Raw genomic sequence first — 16138 nt, 5'->3', positions numbered from 1 at the left:
CATTTCTAACTGAGGCCATGTGACTAGCCAAGGAGTCATTTGTGTCATCTCTGAGCTAAGGTGGTGAGCATCTGCTGTGCCTTTCCCATGACATGTCTCATGTTTGCACTGTTTTTAGAAGCCACATGTTGAAGATGGTAGTGTCAAGATGGAAGAAGGTTGGATCCCTGCGTTACCACTTGGTGGAGAGCTGCCCAAGCAGGCACATCTGCTTTAGACTTTGCACAAGCCAAAAATAAACTGAGAGTGCCGGGCGCGGTAGCTCACACCTGTAATCCTAGCACTTTAGGAGGCTGAGGAGGGTGGATCACTTGAGGTCAGGAGTTCGAGCCAGCCTGGCCAACATGGCGAAACCCCATCTCTACTAAAAATACAAAATTTTTTGGGAGGCCAAGGCAGGCAGATCACCTGAGGTTGGGAGATCAAGATCAGACTGACCAACATGGAGAAACCCCATCTCTACTAAAAATACAAAATTAGCTGGGCATGGTGGCACATGCCTGTAATCTCAGCCGAGACTGTGCCATTGCACTCCAGCCTGGGCAACAGAGCAAGACTGTCTCAAAAACAAACCAAAACAAAACAAAAAAACAAAGATAAATAAAACACAGTCCCTGAACTCAAGGAGTTCATAATCTAGAGGGTGAAATGGATGTATACTTACATATTTTTGTTACAATGTGTTAAATTCTATATTACAGATATATAGAGTATTATGGGAAGGCAGAGGAGGTAGTTTGCATGGGGACAGGAGTGTGGAAAGGATGACTGGAGGTCAGCAAGTGACTAACAGGTATTCCAAAGAGATGAGAATGAACTAAGGTGGAGGCAGGGAAATCAAGTTCATGGGTGTATATGCGTGGTGGAGGGGAAAAGGGATGAGGGGATGACAAACTAGGGAACTTTTGTTAGGATGTGCTGCTCGTGGATTCTATTGGAAAGGAAGTTTATTGAGCGGGGATAATTAAGACAATCCTAAAATGTAATTAAATCTCTACTTAAAAGTAATAGTCTTCCTATGGGACCATGACACATCTGACTTCCCAGGGAAAAATATCTTTGGGACTCAACCTTGAAGGTTTATTTTCACATAATCTTTAAATTCTAATAAGTGCTTGATTCAAATGTAGCATGACTCTGCTTAAAGGGAATGATACTGCTATATCAGAGACAGATAATTACCTGTTTTTCACTTCCTATGTCCTTAGTAAATCTGCTTTTTCTGAACCACCAACTGTGTCCTCTGCTTTCCAGAGAGTTCTGATAGCCAGTGGACAAAAGGTCATGCTGAAGTTCCAGTGATGGCATTACACCGAATCATACAGGATGGTCAGCATTCGACTATTTTGTATTTGAAATATGGCAGTTTCATAAGGTTCTGCCTAATATAACCACAGGTGGTAGTTTAGGTAGTTTAAATTCTTTTTTTTTTCCCCCAAGATGGAGTCTCACTCTGTCACTCATGCTGGAGTGCAGTGGTGCGATCTCGGCTCACTGCAGCCAAGGTTCCAGGTTCCAGTGATTCTCCTGCCTCAGCCACCTGAGTAGCTGGGATTACAGGCACACGCCACCATGCATGGCTAATTTTTTGTTATGAGTAGAGATGGGGTTTCACCATGTTGGTCAGGCTGGTCTCGAACCCCTGACCTCAGGTGATCTGCCCACCTCAGCCTCCCAAAGTGCAGGGATTACAGGCATGAGCCCGTGTAGCTGGTAGTTTAAATCCTTGATCCCAATTCTTCACTCCCTGTAGTAGCATATATCAGAACCCTCGTCACAGTGCCAACACAGGAGCAGTATACTTCTCTGCTCCTTGACTTTGGGTTCTGCCATGGATGTGCCTTGAGCAATGGAATATTAACAGATGGGATGAAAAAGGAGGCTTGCAATGTGCTTGTGCAGTTGGACTTTGCTCGTGCCTCTGTATCACTAGGAGCATATAGGTTCCTAGGTCATCCCTGCAATTTCATGCCTGGCCCAGAATGATGGAAGTTTTATCTCACTTGTAAAAGGAGACCCAAGAGACCCAAGACAGGAATATTCCTTTTCCACCTCTCAAGATTGTCATCTGAATGTTGGCTGGAACTGAGGCAGCCATTTGAGACCATTACAAGAGCCTGCCTTGAGAAGAAGACTAGCCGTTGCACAGAGGGTGGCAGAGTGGCAAGATGAGAGAAACCTGTGTCCTGGTCATGCCACAGAGCTACTGACATTGCCAACCTAAAACCACTCTGTCATCCCATTTGGATTTTCTTTTCCTTTTTTTTTTTTTTTTTTTGAGACAGGGTCTTCCTCTGTTGCCCAGGCTGAAGTACAATGGTGCAGTCATGCCTCACTGCCGTCTTGACTTCCTGGGGCTCAAGCCATCATCCCATCTCAGCATCCAGAGTAGCTGGGATTACAGGAATGCACCATCATACCTGGCTAATTGTTGTATTTTTTGTGGAGACGAGGTTTTGCTCTATTGCCCAGACTGATCTTGAACTCCTGGGCTCAAGCGATCTTCTTACCTTGGCTTCCCAAAGTGCTGGGATTACAGGTGTGCACCACCACGCCCAGCCTGGATTTTCTATTAACAGCTATTTGTAGCATCCCAATGGATCGCTCAGGAATCATACACATCATGACTTTCAATTGTTAGAGATGTTTAAAGGTGTAAAAAGTCATACATGAAAAATTTAAAAATTAAATAATTATCTCCACCTTACAGATGGAGTAAGATTTGTTCAGATGATGCTAGAAAATGCCCTTCGAAGGCTGGATCAAGTTTGACTTCTTTTGACCTGAACAGATTATTTTGGTTTACCATCAAACTGTTTTGTGTTATTTCCATTCTTTTGAAGTGCTATTTCCTTGAATGAAGGAAAATGTCTACAGGTATAGATATTGTGTATTACATATTTTCTTGGTCAGGGGTTTACAAATAAAGCTAATTCATTATTAATGTCCAGGCACAGCTCTCACTCTTCTGTTAGTCACTGTAGGAAAAACGCAACACTGCATAGTTGAAGGAATAGCATTTTTGGAGTTCATTAGTCCTGAGGTCAAGCCTTGGCTATCTGGGCAATCATGTGCAAATCACTTAATGCTCTTAAGCCTCAGTCTCCTCATCTGTGAAACAGGGATAATGATACGAACTTCAAATTTGAGGAGTGAAGTATAAAGTGTCTGACACATAATAGGGCTCTGTAAATGATCATTGCCTTCCTCTTCCCCAGCTCCAAGACAAAACGCATCTTTGGTTTTAAAGATTACTAGGCTAAAAAATCATGAGTGATTGGGCTTGGAAAAACCCATGTCATACTGCTAAAGTCAGGAACAATCATTTTAGAAAATTAGAAATAAGACAGGGCTGTCTTCCTGGAATGTACCATGTGTTCTCAGAAAGAAAGCCAAGATATTAATGGAAGGCAGTATTAAAGATACCCTCACCTCATTCCCTCAACTCATGTATTTATTTTTATTATAAAATATATGGCAAGCAAGATATCTTTGAATAGGGCAAGTTATTTTTATTTTTATTTTTTTATTTTCATATTTTTTTCTTTTGAGATGGAGTCTTGCTTTGTCACCTAGGCTGGAGTGCAGTGGTGCGATCTCGGCTCACTGCAACCTCTGCCTCCTGGGTTCAAGTGATTTTCCAGCCTCAGCCTCCCGAGTAGCTGGGACTACAGGCAATTGCAACCATGTGCAGCTAATTTTTGTATTTTCAGTAGAGACGGGGTTTCACCATGTTGGCCAGGCTGGTCTCAAACTACTGACCTCAAGTGATCTGCCCACCTCAGCCTCCCAAAGTGCTAAGATTACAGGAGTGAGGCACCACGCCCCGCCTAGTTATTTTTAGGTTCTTCTTCCATTCAAACTCAGGAGCTATATTTCCTTTTCTCCTTACTAAATGCCATGTTCTCCATGATGTCTCTCTCCCTGTTAGGATAAGATTGTTTTCGGTTTTCTGGAATTTGGTAATGTCAGTTCTCCCAGGCAGGGCGTGTGGGTGTGTGCATGTGTGTGTATGTGTGTGTATCTTTTTCTAATGGTGGCAGTTCAAGGCTTTCTGAAGGAATCCAAGCTGCATGAACCAAATCAAAATTTCCTATCCCCTGTGAAATTCTTGACATTGACTCCTGTTGGTTTCTTTGTACCTTGTCTTCCTCCCCCAACAGTGCCTGAACATCAGGGATCTCCCTGGGGCTGCGTGAGCTGATGCTCTGGTCAACAGTTTAGGCAGCTCATGATGCTGGGTGCGTAGTTCACTTGGAATGAGGACTCTGGATGAAGAATAGATTTGAGATAGATTCATCAACTCATAGCTTTTTTATTTTATTTATTTATTTGTTTGTTTGTTTGTTTGTTTGTTTGTTTTGAGACAGTCTCGTTCTGTTGCCCAGGCTGGAGTGCAGTGATGTGATCACAGCTCACTGCAGGCTCAAACTCCTAGGCTCAAGTAATTCTCACACCTCAGCCTCCCACATCCCTGGGATTACAAGCATGAGCCACCGTGCCCAGCAGACTTTTTACAGAGGGCACAACTACATAGATCACTCATCATGCATTCACCGTGTGTCAATGACCATTCTAGGCAATGGGGATACAGCAGTGGGTAAAATCCTAACTTCAGGAACTTACATTCTAGGGAAGAGAGACATATGATAAATAAAGAAAATAAATAAGAGTTACTGTATATGGGCTCTGGAAAACAAATTAAGCAGGAAAGAAGGCCATTTTATTCAGATTAGTTGGGAAAGCCTCCCCACAGTAATGTTTGAGAAAAAACTTGAGGGGGTGAGATCTAGGGACAGGGACTCTAGGCAGAAGAAACAGTAAGCACAAAAGCTTTGATGCCTAGAGGCTGGTGAGGCTGAAGCCGAGTGGGCAAGGGGTATCACTAGATGGAATCAGGGAGGGAATGTGGTCCAGATGGGTGGACTTGGGCTTTTACTCTGAGTAGAATGAGAAGCTGTTGGCGGATTTTGACCAGTGGAATGACATGATATGACATGTTAAAAAACATCCCCCTGGCCACTGTGGTGGGAATAGATTGCAAAGGAGCAAGAGTAGAAGCAAGGAGAACATTGCAATCATCCAAGTGAGACACAAGGATGGTCTGGACCAGGGTGGAGCCAGTAGGGGTAGGGAAAAGTACAGCCATTCCAGATTACATTTTGAAGGTAGAACCAACAGATTTTCTTACTGAAGCAGGCATGGGGTATGCGAGCAGTACAGGGTGAAGCATGACTCCAACACTTTTGGCTTGAGCCACTGGAAGGATGGAGCTGAGATCCACTGAATGAAGGACTGTGGCTGGAACAGGATATGGGGGAAAGAGCAGAAGCTCAATTTGGGATGAGTTTGAGATGCCTTTAGACACCCAAGTGGGGATATTGGGTGGGCAGCTGCTTGTATGGATCTGGAGTACAAAGGTCCTGAATATAAAGCACTCAGCCCAGGGCTCAAAGCAGAGCGATGCTCAATGAGTTGCAGCTCCCTTCTGTTTCCATATCCCTGACTCCCAAATTTTGTTCATGGAAACTCACAGAAGAGAAGACTCCCAAGTCAGTATTGATCTATATTATTATGTCTCTTCTCCTTACCTATAGCAGCCTGGAGCTGCTTTATAGAAATAAATGACTTGATCCAAGGACCAAGTTGGTTTCCTTAACCTCAGCTTTGTAAAGAATATGACATAGGCTGGGTGTAATGGCTCACACTGGTAATCCCAGCACTTTGGGAGGCCAACGCGGGTGGATCACCTGAGGTCAGGAGTTCGAGACCAGCATGGTCAACACAGTGAAAGCCAGTCTCTACTACAGAAATTTAAAAAACAAATTAGCTGGGCATGGTGGTGCACACCTGTAATCCCAGCTACTTTGGGAGGCTGAGGCAGAAGAATTGCTTGAAGCTGGGAGCTGGAGGTTGCAGTGAGCTGAGATGATGCCACTGCACTCCAGCCTAGGCAAGAGAGTGAACTCTGTCTCAAAAAAAAAAAAAATGCATAATTATGGACACAATTCCCCTTTCTTCTTTCCAAAGGAGTAGCCAGGAAAAAAATTCAGTGCTTTTACTCAGTGCTCTTCATATGTTTTTTTCTCTTGCCCTTAAAACATGTACCTTGTGCCAGGGGAATGGTTTCCTCTCTGGATCCCTCAAAACAGCTCCAATTAATACTTTTCTTATTTACTCCAATTAATATTTTTGGTTTTTTCTCTCTTGCCCTGGAATAATCTTCCTCTTTGTCCTTACCTTTCTTCAATTCTCCTATCTCCCTTCTAATTCTCCCTAAACCTTGGATCTAGTCATCCCACTGGACACCCCATTTTCACAACTTTCTGGTATATTGAGTCCTGGTTTCCTTGGACAAGTTGATGAGAGATCGTTTTTGAAATTCTTCTGCAATTAGCTCCTGAAGGAATTGGGGCTGGAGGAGCCTCAGATGGTCCAATGACTTCTGGACATTTGGGTGATCAAGGGGGTTTTAAGAGACTTTCTTGTGTTTCGGTTTCCAGGGATAGTATGCACCCCTACCCTGTAGGTCCTTTTAGCTTGCAGAAGGTAGCCATGAACCAAGAGGTGCCCATCATTCCACCCGGAGCAAGCATCTTGCCTGCGTTTACTTTGGGGTAAAAAGTTTTATCAGGGGGTCAGCTCCTGGAGTTTCAGGCTCTGAAGCTAGTCCTTGAAGATTGGGGAAAATATACCTAGTGAAGGAGAGGAGGAGGTGAGGGAACAGCTTCTGGAAGCAGCAAAACCTTCTTAGCTTTTGACTCCTCCTCCTGTCTATGCAACAGGGAGAGGGGCTGTGCACGGTTCAGGCCCCTTGGCTGGTCTCCCCATTTTCACGTTTGGTGCTGTCTCAGCAAAGTTTTTGTTTTCTAGGATCGGCTGTAAACAGGAGGCACACCATGTTTCCTGTATGGCTTGTTGGCTTTTATATGACAGGTGTGTCTCGTGGCAGGAACAACAGCTCAAGTGTGGCCGAGTCTCATCAAGAGGGCTTCTCTGCTCAGTTGTCCCTTCTGTTTCAGCTGATTCTTGGCTCTGTGCTTGCGAGCATCTGGGAAACTGGGCATGGAAGTAATCCCACCCTTTGTTCGATAACTAGCAGACACACAGGCGAGACAAGCCAGGAGCACAGCCAATTCCCTTAAGGAGTGTGGGCTGAGACCATGCCAATGGGAGGACAGGAGGCAGGGGCCCTGAGCACTGCCACCAGTGCACCAAGCCAAGCTGGCATGCTCAGCCTCTGGCACGGGCTTCAGGTCTCTGACCCCCCTCTTATTCCATCCTTCCTGAGGATTCATTAAGAGTGCTTAGGGGAACACAGAAGGCTTTTTATAGGCATCCTGGTTCAGCCTTGGTAGGGTTACTGAAAACAAAAAAAATATTTCTGGATTGGAAAGATCTTCAGAAATGTTCTTGCCAAAAAATGTTTTATTTAGTTCTTTATCACAGGTCATATTTCTGCAGGGAGGATTTTCCTAACACCTTCAGAGCTCAGAGCAGTGCCATATGCATGAGGTATCTGTGTGTCAAAGAGATGGGAGGAGCACAGCAGGGGTGTGAGAAGGTTGGCTTGAGCTTTAAAATTTTGAAACTTAGGGAGGTTTTTGGAATCACCAAGCCAATAGCACCAATCACCCAAGCCCCAAAAGTGCTGAGGTCCTGTAGGGATCCTCAGCCACACTCATTGTTTCCATGGAAACAATAGAACTTTCTGATATAAAATAGAAGGCAACCTATAGACATCACACTTACAAAAATAGAGATCTGGTTTTCATCTCTGCTTCTTGGGCTAGGGCCAGCTTTTCCTGTTGTCTCTTTTATGGAATTTGAAATAAGGAGCCGAAGAAAAACTCCTAAGTGGGGAAAAAAGACTTCATTCCCTGAGTCCGAAGAAGGAGTCAGTGAACCCATTTCAAATTAGCAAGTTTTGACTAGCAGCTTCCCTGCACGACATTGGAGACCCCACACTGAGCTTGCTTTTAAGTGAGCCCCTGAGTTCTTCTTGTTTTCCAGTGTCGGAACTTCTAAATTACAGGGGCAACAGCCCAGGAACGGAAAAACTGCTCTCATCTGCTTTCTGGCCTGTCTCCAGACTAGAGCAGCTGTGAATATCTTGAGGTTTCCACTGTGGCCTGTCAGAGACTGCTGGTTTGAATAATCCTGATGAGATTTGGAGAAAGAGCACAGGCACATGAACATTTATAAGCAGAGTAGAATCTTTATCCCTTTCAGGTTCATTGGAATGTCACTGTCACTACTGATAAATCAACAGTGTCATCTTTTCCATTACCTCAGCACCTCACATAGAGAGCAGGATGTAATGGACGGACCCTTACTGCAGGGGTCAGAATCCCAGGTTCTGATCCTGATTCTGCCTCCGTGAACTGTGTGACCTTGGATAAGTCGCTTACCTTCTCTGGGCTTTACTTCAGTCACCTGTAAAGGGGAAGGGGGGAGATACTAGATGATCTTTTTGTTTTCATTTTTCTTTATTATAAAAACATATAAAATTTACCATCTTAACCATTTTTAAGTGTACATTTCAGTAGTACTAAGTATATTCACATCATTATGAAACAGATTTCCAGAACGTTTTCATTTTGCAAATCTGAAACTCTATAGCCATGAAACAACTCTCCTTCTTCTCTTTTTTGAGGCCTCTGGTAACCACCATTATACTTTCTGTTTCTATGCCCCTCCTATGACCTCATATAAGGGACACCATACAGTATCTTTCTGCTTGCAACTGACTTATTTCACTTCGCATAAAATCCTCAATGTTTATTCATATTGTAGCAGGTGTCAGGATCTCCTTCCTTTTTAAGGTTGAATGCTATTCCATTGTACAGATATACCACATTTTGTTGATCCATTCATCCACTGATGGACATTTGGGTTGTTTCCACCTCTTGGCTATTGTGAGTAGTGCTATAACCTTGAGTATTCAAATATCTGCTCAAGACCCTGCTCTCGATTCTTTTGCATATGTACCCAGAAGTGGGATTGCTGGATCACATTCTAGTTCTATTTTTAATTTTTTGAGGAACTGCCATACTGTTTTCACAGTGCTGCACCACTTTACCTTCTCACTAAGAGCAAACAAGGGTTACAATTTCTCCACGTTCTTACCAACGCTTGTTATTTTCTGCTTTTTTTGATAGTAGCCATCCTAATGGGCATGAGGTGATATATCCTTGTGGTTTTGATTTGATTTCTGTTTCTCTGATGATATTAACTGTTCATCTTTAACATTTATAGCTCTAGATTCTTTCTGTCTTCAACCAACTTTTTAAGCACTCTTTTCTTTCTGTACAGGAACAGATAATAGTTAATTACTGAGAAACTGAATCTATCACTGACTCTGATAGGGTTTGTTTTTTGGGTTTTTTTTTTCTTTTGCATGCTGGGCTTTTGCTGTGTGTAAGTGATGGGAAATGAGGATGTATTCTTCAGGACTTGATATAATTGAATGTCTGTCACTTGAAGGAAAGTGCGGAGTGGAATCTTTTTCCTTCCAAAACTAATGCTTCTTCACAACTGACTATGTGTTGATCATTTTTCTAAGTGCATTACATATATTAACATATTTAATCTTCATAGCAACAACAATCTTATGAGGTAAGTATTAGTATTATCCTTATTTCACAATCATGAAACTGAGGCACAGAGAGGGCAAGTAACTTGCCTAAGGTCACACAGCTAGTCAGTTAAGGCCAGAGGTCTCCCTGCCTCCTGTCTCTCTCAATCTCAGCCATTGCCTTGGATAAAAACCTCTTTAATCTTTATCCCGTTACAAAGGGATGCTTTTTGTCTCCTTGCCCTTTCTCCTTTCCTTCCACATCATTCAACTGTGCCCTTTGGAACTCTATTCATATATCTTTAACATTTTTCCTAAATGTTTCCTCTGTCTTCTGCTATCAGCTGAACCTTAGTCTCCCCTAAGGTTCCTGCTTCCCTTTTATCCTTCTCAAGTGGCGAGGGCTCATGCTCACCTGCCCTCTGCCCCTCTGGGCTGGGAGTTAGGAATTAATATCTCTCTTGCTCTCCAAAGCTATTGCCAGGTCACTATTCCTTCTCTCTTATGTAAATTTCCATTGGCTTTGTGGTTCACAGTTTGTCCTATGTTATCCCTATCATGTGTCAATCTGCCTTTCAGTCTCCAATATTCACATGAGATTTGGGGCTGGTCATGGTGCCTCATGCCTGTAATCCCAGCACTTTGGGAGGCCGAGGTGGGTGGATCACTGGAGGTCAGGAGTTTGAGACCAGCCTGGCCAACATGATGAAACCCAGACTCTACTAAAAATACAAAAATTAGCCGGGCGTCGTGGTGTGCACCTGTAGTCCCAGCTACTTGGGAGGCTGAGGTATGAGAATCTCTTGAACCTGGGAAGCAGAGGTTGCAGTGAGCCGAGATTGCACCATTGCACTCCAGCCTGGGTGACAAGAGTGAAACTCTGTCTCAAAAAAAAAAAAAAAAAAAAAGATTTTGGCAGCAGGCTCACGACCTTTCTCTCCCCCATGTTCTGCCAACTGCCAGCTGGGTAACTCCAGTGTCCAGGAAGACAGTCCTCCTGATGCACTAACTCTTCCGATCTTTAGTTTCGGCCTCAATGTTTTCACGTAGCCTATACTTTGCCATGCGGGATTTCAACAGCCCTAACTTGCTGCGTCATCACTCAGGATTCCCTCATCCCCAAGTCTCAAACTCCTAGGTCCTCCCAGCTCACTCATTCCCTTATCCCCACTACCCCATCAGTTAGCTCGTGAAGGTGTCCAGATCCTAGACTCTTCCTTATCCACACAGTCTACATTCCCTCCTGGCTTATCCCCCATCCTCATGGTCATCTGGACTGTTTTCTCATTCACATCCTTAGCAGTATTTATGCCCATATCCACCTTTTCTTCCTCCTATTTTGGAGAATGAAGCATCTCTCCTTCCTTCAAAATCAATATTTCAACCTGTGCACTCCATGCCTGCTCTCGCTTCTCAAGGTTCTTCCTTCCCTGCCAATCATTCCCTCTCTGCCCTATGTATTCACCTTCCTCCATGTCTCTGTGGACAGGCTCAATTCCTTCCCTCTGTCTCCCTCTAAAAGCTGAATAGGCTCAACTCTCTCCAGCCTCCCTCCTGCCCTTGACCCTGCATCCCTCCCTCAGCTGCTGTGCAACCTTGCTCCTTCTCCAGATTTCTGGAAAGAGAGTCTCTACTTATTCATCTCCTTTTCACCCTTTGGTTCACTGAAATTTAGCTTCTGTTCACAAAGTATTTAGGTTCTTGTGAGGCTGGGTTAGAAGTTTGAGGGTGGTGAGTGAATGTATGATACCTGCCACTGACTCAGTGGAGGTGAAGGCTGAGTGGTCTTCTAGGAATTCAGGGCCAGGGGATGAGTGAGCTTGAGGAGCATGGCAATGTCTGCAACGTGCATGAGTGGGAAAGGATTGAGTGCCACTTTGTGCATCTCAACTGAAGTTCAACTTGCACACAAATTGGAACATAGAAGAAGTGAAGGCATTTTACCCTCCTTTGCCCCTGCTCTTTGGGGCTCAGTTTTCTTCTTTGTACAGCATGGGGTGGGACCAAATGGTCATCAGATCCCTTCCAGCTCTCCCTGTCTTCATATAACAGAATTTCTCCTAGCAATGTCTTGAGTTTGTAGCTGCCTAGGAGACAAGCCTTTCAAAAATTGCTTACAAAAAGGCCTGTGTTCTTTCCACAGTGTGTTTTAAACAAATATCAACAACAAAAAAAAGTTTTTAGAAGACATTGAAATTCATTTCATAATAGTCTGTTACCTCATTGAGCCTCTTGTTGAGTAAGTGAAACCAATGTGTGTGTGGTGTTGATGGTGTTATGAGAATTAAAGCCATGATGCAGTCTCCATCCAAGATAGTATATGTGCATTTCAAAGGGATTTTCAGACACAACGTGAAGAAAGGACTATGATTTGATGAAATTTTGGGTCAAAGAAAGGCTGATCGTTTTTAGACAGATGGGGGCTTTTGTGGATGGAGCTGGACAAAAAGAATATGAAAGGAATGAAGAATTCAATCAGGCGGTAAAGAGATTAGTTGAATCCAGCCTAGGCTAGGGGTTGCTGAATTCCATCTGCCCAAATTAAGCTGCTCTAAAAGGGCCAGTATGTTTGCTATTGCAAAAGAATCCAACACGTTCTGACCCTAAAAAGTTATCTTTATGATAGCAATATAAAATCTGTAACATTTTAATCTTGGGATTTGTAAGGTGAATGTTTATAAAGATAAGTTTGTAAATAGAACTGGAATAGTTAAGATAATTCAATTTATATTTTTAAGTTTATTTGATCAGAGTTGCAACAAGAGATCTTTAAATGCTAGGGAGGTTTTTGCTTGTTATGGTTATAACTTCATCCTGTCAAGCATTTGAAGCACGTAAAAATGAATCTGAACATGTTACACTTACAAATGCAGTTTAAAATTAAGACTATTTAATTGATTAAATTTGTACCTGAGATTGATTCTTTAAGCAGTTTAGTCTGTCGACTGGAGTTTCTAGAAACTTGTCAGAGAAATTTTGAAGGTGATCTTCTTGTTTTACTGGCTTTGTAGATAGAGTCATAGTTTGAATTGAAAGTAATGAAAACCATGTTTTAAAATTTGTAAACTTGGTAACATGAATATGAATTTAAAAGTGAATTAATTGAAAAGGCTTTCCATGGAAAAGGCCCATAATATGGGATACAGGAAGAGGATGAGCAAAAAGAGGAAGAATGAAAATGTCCAGAGCATAGGAGGAAGCCAAAGTTTCTGGTGCTGCAGGAAAGTGGGTACCCCAAGAATGTATTGGCATGTACTGAGGACTATGACCTGAAATATTTTCCCTTACATATTTATAACATGAATATTTTTGAGAGTGCCCAAGTTTTTATCTTTATCTTTGCATGTCCTTATTTTAGAGGTAACAGATCAGGATTAAACTAGAACAAGGTAACACTCAATATTGAATGACACATTAGCTAGATGGGGAATATTGATTGGTTTCTCAGCAGTTGAAGAGCAATGTTATATCACTGCCAAATGATTATCTTATTTTGACTCTTCCAGAAACTGGGGAAGAGGTAAAGAAGAAACAAGCAAAAGTTCTTAAATAACCAGCAGATAAAACCAAACCTATGTTCATTTCTGGCTCTCTCAATTGGCTTGAGCCAAATGGTGAAGTAGCAGAAGCAATTGTCTTGGAGATGTCTCGGGTTTCCCATTCTCTCTCCCCCACTTAAAGTTATGCCTTTGTTTTCTGTATACATCAGATTCCACTCTCAGGGAAGATCTGACTTTGGTCTACACTTTGATGCAAATTTAATTTCGTGGGGTAATTTTTCTCTACGTCTTGTGTTCAGTTCTGGACTGAAAGTAATGGTACAAGGCTATCCCTATGCACCTTCACTGAGAATGCCAATAGCGGAGGCAAGGTACAGATAGGAAACTGCATAATATATACCCTGCAGAGAGATTTTTGTAAGAGAAAGGGCTGCTAGTAATACTTGCTCTGGGACTGTCCCAGCAGAGGGGATAGATGGTAGCCCTATGTATGGGCCAGCAGTTCTTAAACCAGGCTAGTCATCGTAATCATTGGAAGAGATGTTTTAAACAAATTCTATGGCTGACATTTCCCATTCAAATTCTGATTCAGTTGCTCTGGGGTACAGTTCACGGTCACCCCCACTGGAAGAACAACCTTTGGAATCCCAGCGATTAGTTACCTGGCAAGGATTACTTAAAGAAGCAGGTGTATAGTGTACCCTGCACTCCATTTACTTCTTTTTATCATAACGACAGCACAGTCAGGATGTAAGGGCACAGATTTCCTCCATTTTACTTAAACGGAAGGCAAAGTCCCAAGTATTACATATTCTAATGATAGGCTCTAAACTTTATCTTGTCCTCTCTCTATCTCTTTCTCCCTCCTTATCCATCTATCCCTCGTATCTTTTTCTTGTCCCCTTCATGTTTTTCTAGAACACTCTCATAGGCTGCTTCTGGCTCCTTTTACTGGCCATTCATCCATATTGTTTTTATATTCTTCAGAACAAGTAAAACTGAACACATTTCTGTTAGTTTTGAGAATAAGGTACTAACAATCTATCTTCTCTGCCTGGATGAAGTGACAGGGGTTTTACAGATATATAATACTACTTCATTTCATCCTCGGTGCAAACCTGGAGGCAGGAGCTTGACTCAGAAAAGTTAACTCTACTCCCCAAAAGGTTCTTGCTTGGAACGGACTCATTTTAGTTTTCATCATCACGAGCACCAACTGATTGAGTGCCTAGCGCAGGCAGGGCACTGAGGCCAGCTTATGCTGTCCTGAGCTTGCTAATTAGATCACACTGCTTTTTCCTTGGTACACCCTATCTTGTGGTATTGATTAAAGAAAGCACATTAAAAATAAACCTTGAAAACTTTAGATCTTTGTCTTGCTCTTCAAAAAAATTGTATTCTCTCCAATCCCACAAATGCTACAACTTAAAAAATACAGAAAAGCACACAAAGAAGCTAAAGACCACCAATAATTCTACTAACCAGAGAAAATTACTGTTAACTTTTTCATGTATATCCAACCCTCTTTTTACTAAATACATGTGCACACACATTTGTAGCATCCTTATACTTCATATGCACAAATTTGACCATTGCAAGTTTATGTATCATTTTCTATTTTTCCACACTGTTTATAGTATGTATAATGGTTGAATGGACAGGATTCCATTATTTAACTGACCATTATTTATTTATATTACCAATCTTTGTTGATTCCTTGAATTGTTTCAATTCCCACTTTTAAAAACAAGTCTGTGTTATCTAGCCCAGTTGACCTTCAAATATCAAGGCTATAGGCAAATAGCTGTAAACATACAAGAGTGAGAATACACATAATCATGATTCCATCCTGAGAAATCTACTAGACAATAAATGTATCCCACCAGGAAATGATGAGATATCAGCAAAGCACTGATGGTGAGTGCTGATTATATTTAATTGTAGCTCTAAGACTTAAACAAAGATGGGAACAGAGGTGAAAGAAAAATATGTATATATTATACATTCTGATACATTAGAGATAATACAACTGAAAACATTGAAGAAGAGAAAGGGAAAGGAGGAAGTAAAATAAGACTATTGATTGATATGTAGGTAGTATGTGGCAGACAGAAGATATCATTTAAAGGTACAAACCAATTGTAGAAGTCTATGTAAGAAAAAGGGATTATGACCCTTAAAAAATTAAATATTAGTAAAAAGGTAACCACTGTGTTAAAAATATAAATCTTTTTAAATAGCAAAATATATATAACAGTAATAAAAAAGAAGAAATATTTGATTATATTTGCAAGCATAAACATATCAAAAATAATCTATGAATTCATAAAACTAGACACCAAAGAGGCTTGGGGACAATAATAGAATATAAAGGATAGGAATAGGGTTGTTATTTTTTAGAGTTTTCCTTCTTGTAGTTTTGACTTTTGAACCATGTAAAAATTATACATGTTCAAAAAATAAAATTAAATCAAAAGAATGAAAAGGGCAACACTGAAATTGAATATAAAGAGAAACAAATGAACTTAACTATATATCCAACTCTACAGCAAGTATTCCTACATAGAAAGCAGAATTAATTCAAAATTTTTTTTTTTTTTGAGACAGAGTCTCTCTTTGTTGCCCAGGCCGGAGTGCAGTGGTTCAATCTTAGATAACTGCAACCTCTGCCTCCCAGGTTCAAGCCATCTTCCCACCTCAGCCTCCTGAGTAGCTGGGGTTACAGGCATGCATCACCATGCCCAGCTAATTTTTGTATTTTTAGTAGAGATGGGGTTTTGGTGTGTTGGCCAGACTGGTTTTGGATTCCTGGGCTCAAGTGATCTGCCTGCCTTGGCCTCCCAAAGTGCTGAGATTACAGGCATGAGACACCATCCCCAGCCTCAAATAAATTTTTAATACACCTTAATAAAATATATTTTATGAAGAGAAGGAACTTTAAAGAAATATTTAATTTTACTTGTTTTTTGTGGTGGTACAATACTATTGCTAAGTAATACTAAGAATATTTTGTGCATTTTAAAGCATATAGCAAACAATAAAACACTTAATTTTTTTGGAA

General features: G+C 41.6%; 1 long non-coding RNA gene across 1 annotated transcript in view, besides 1 other annotated feature; it reads left to right on the top strand.

Annotated features, from left to right (window-relative positions):
• LOC643339 (uncharacterized) overlaps positions 1–16138 on the top strand; it is a 373979-nt gene that overhangs the window by 308572 nt on the left and 49269 nt on the right. The window lies entirely within an intron of this gene.
• Positions 8657–8706: an enhancer, noted in NCBI's record as "active region_6761". NCBI's record gives its function as "activates an Ori minimal core promoter by ATAC-STARR-seq in GM12878 lymphoblastoid cells {active_cell/tissue: GM12878}" and the evidence as "EXISTENCE:reporter gene assay evidence [ECO:0000049][PMID:35858748]".

This window comes from Homo sapiens, chromosome 12 (assembly GCF_000001405.40).
Source record: "Homo sapiens chromosome 12, GRCh38.p14 Primary Assembly".
NCBI lineage: Eukaryota > Metazoa > Chordata > Mammalia > Primates > Hominidae > Homo > Homo sapiens.
This window is presented reverse-complemented; position numbering and strand designations above follow the sequence as displayed.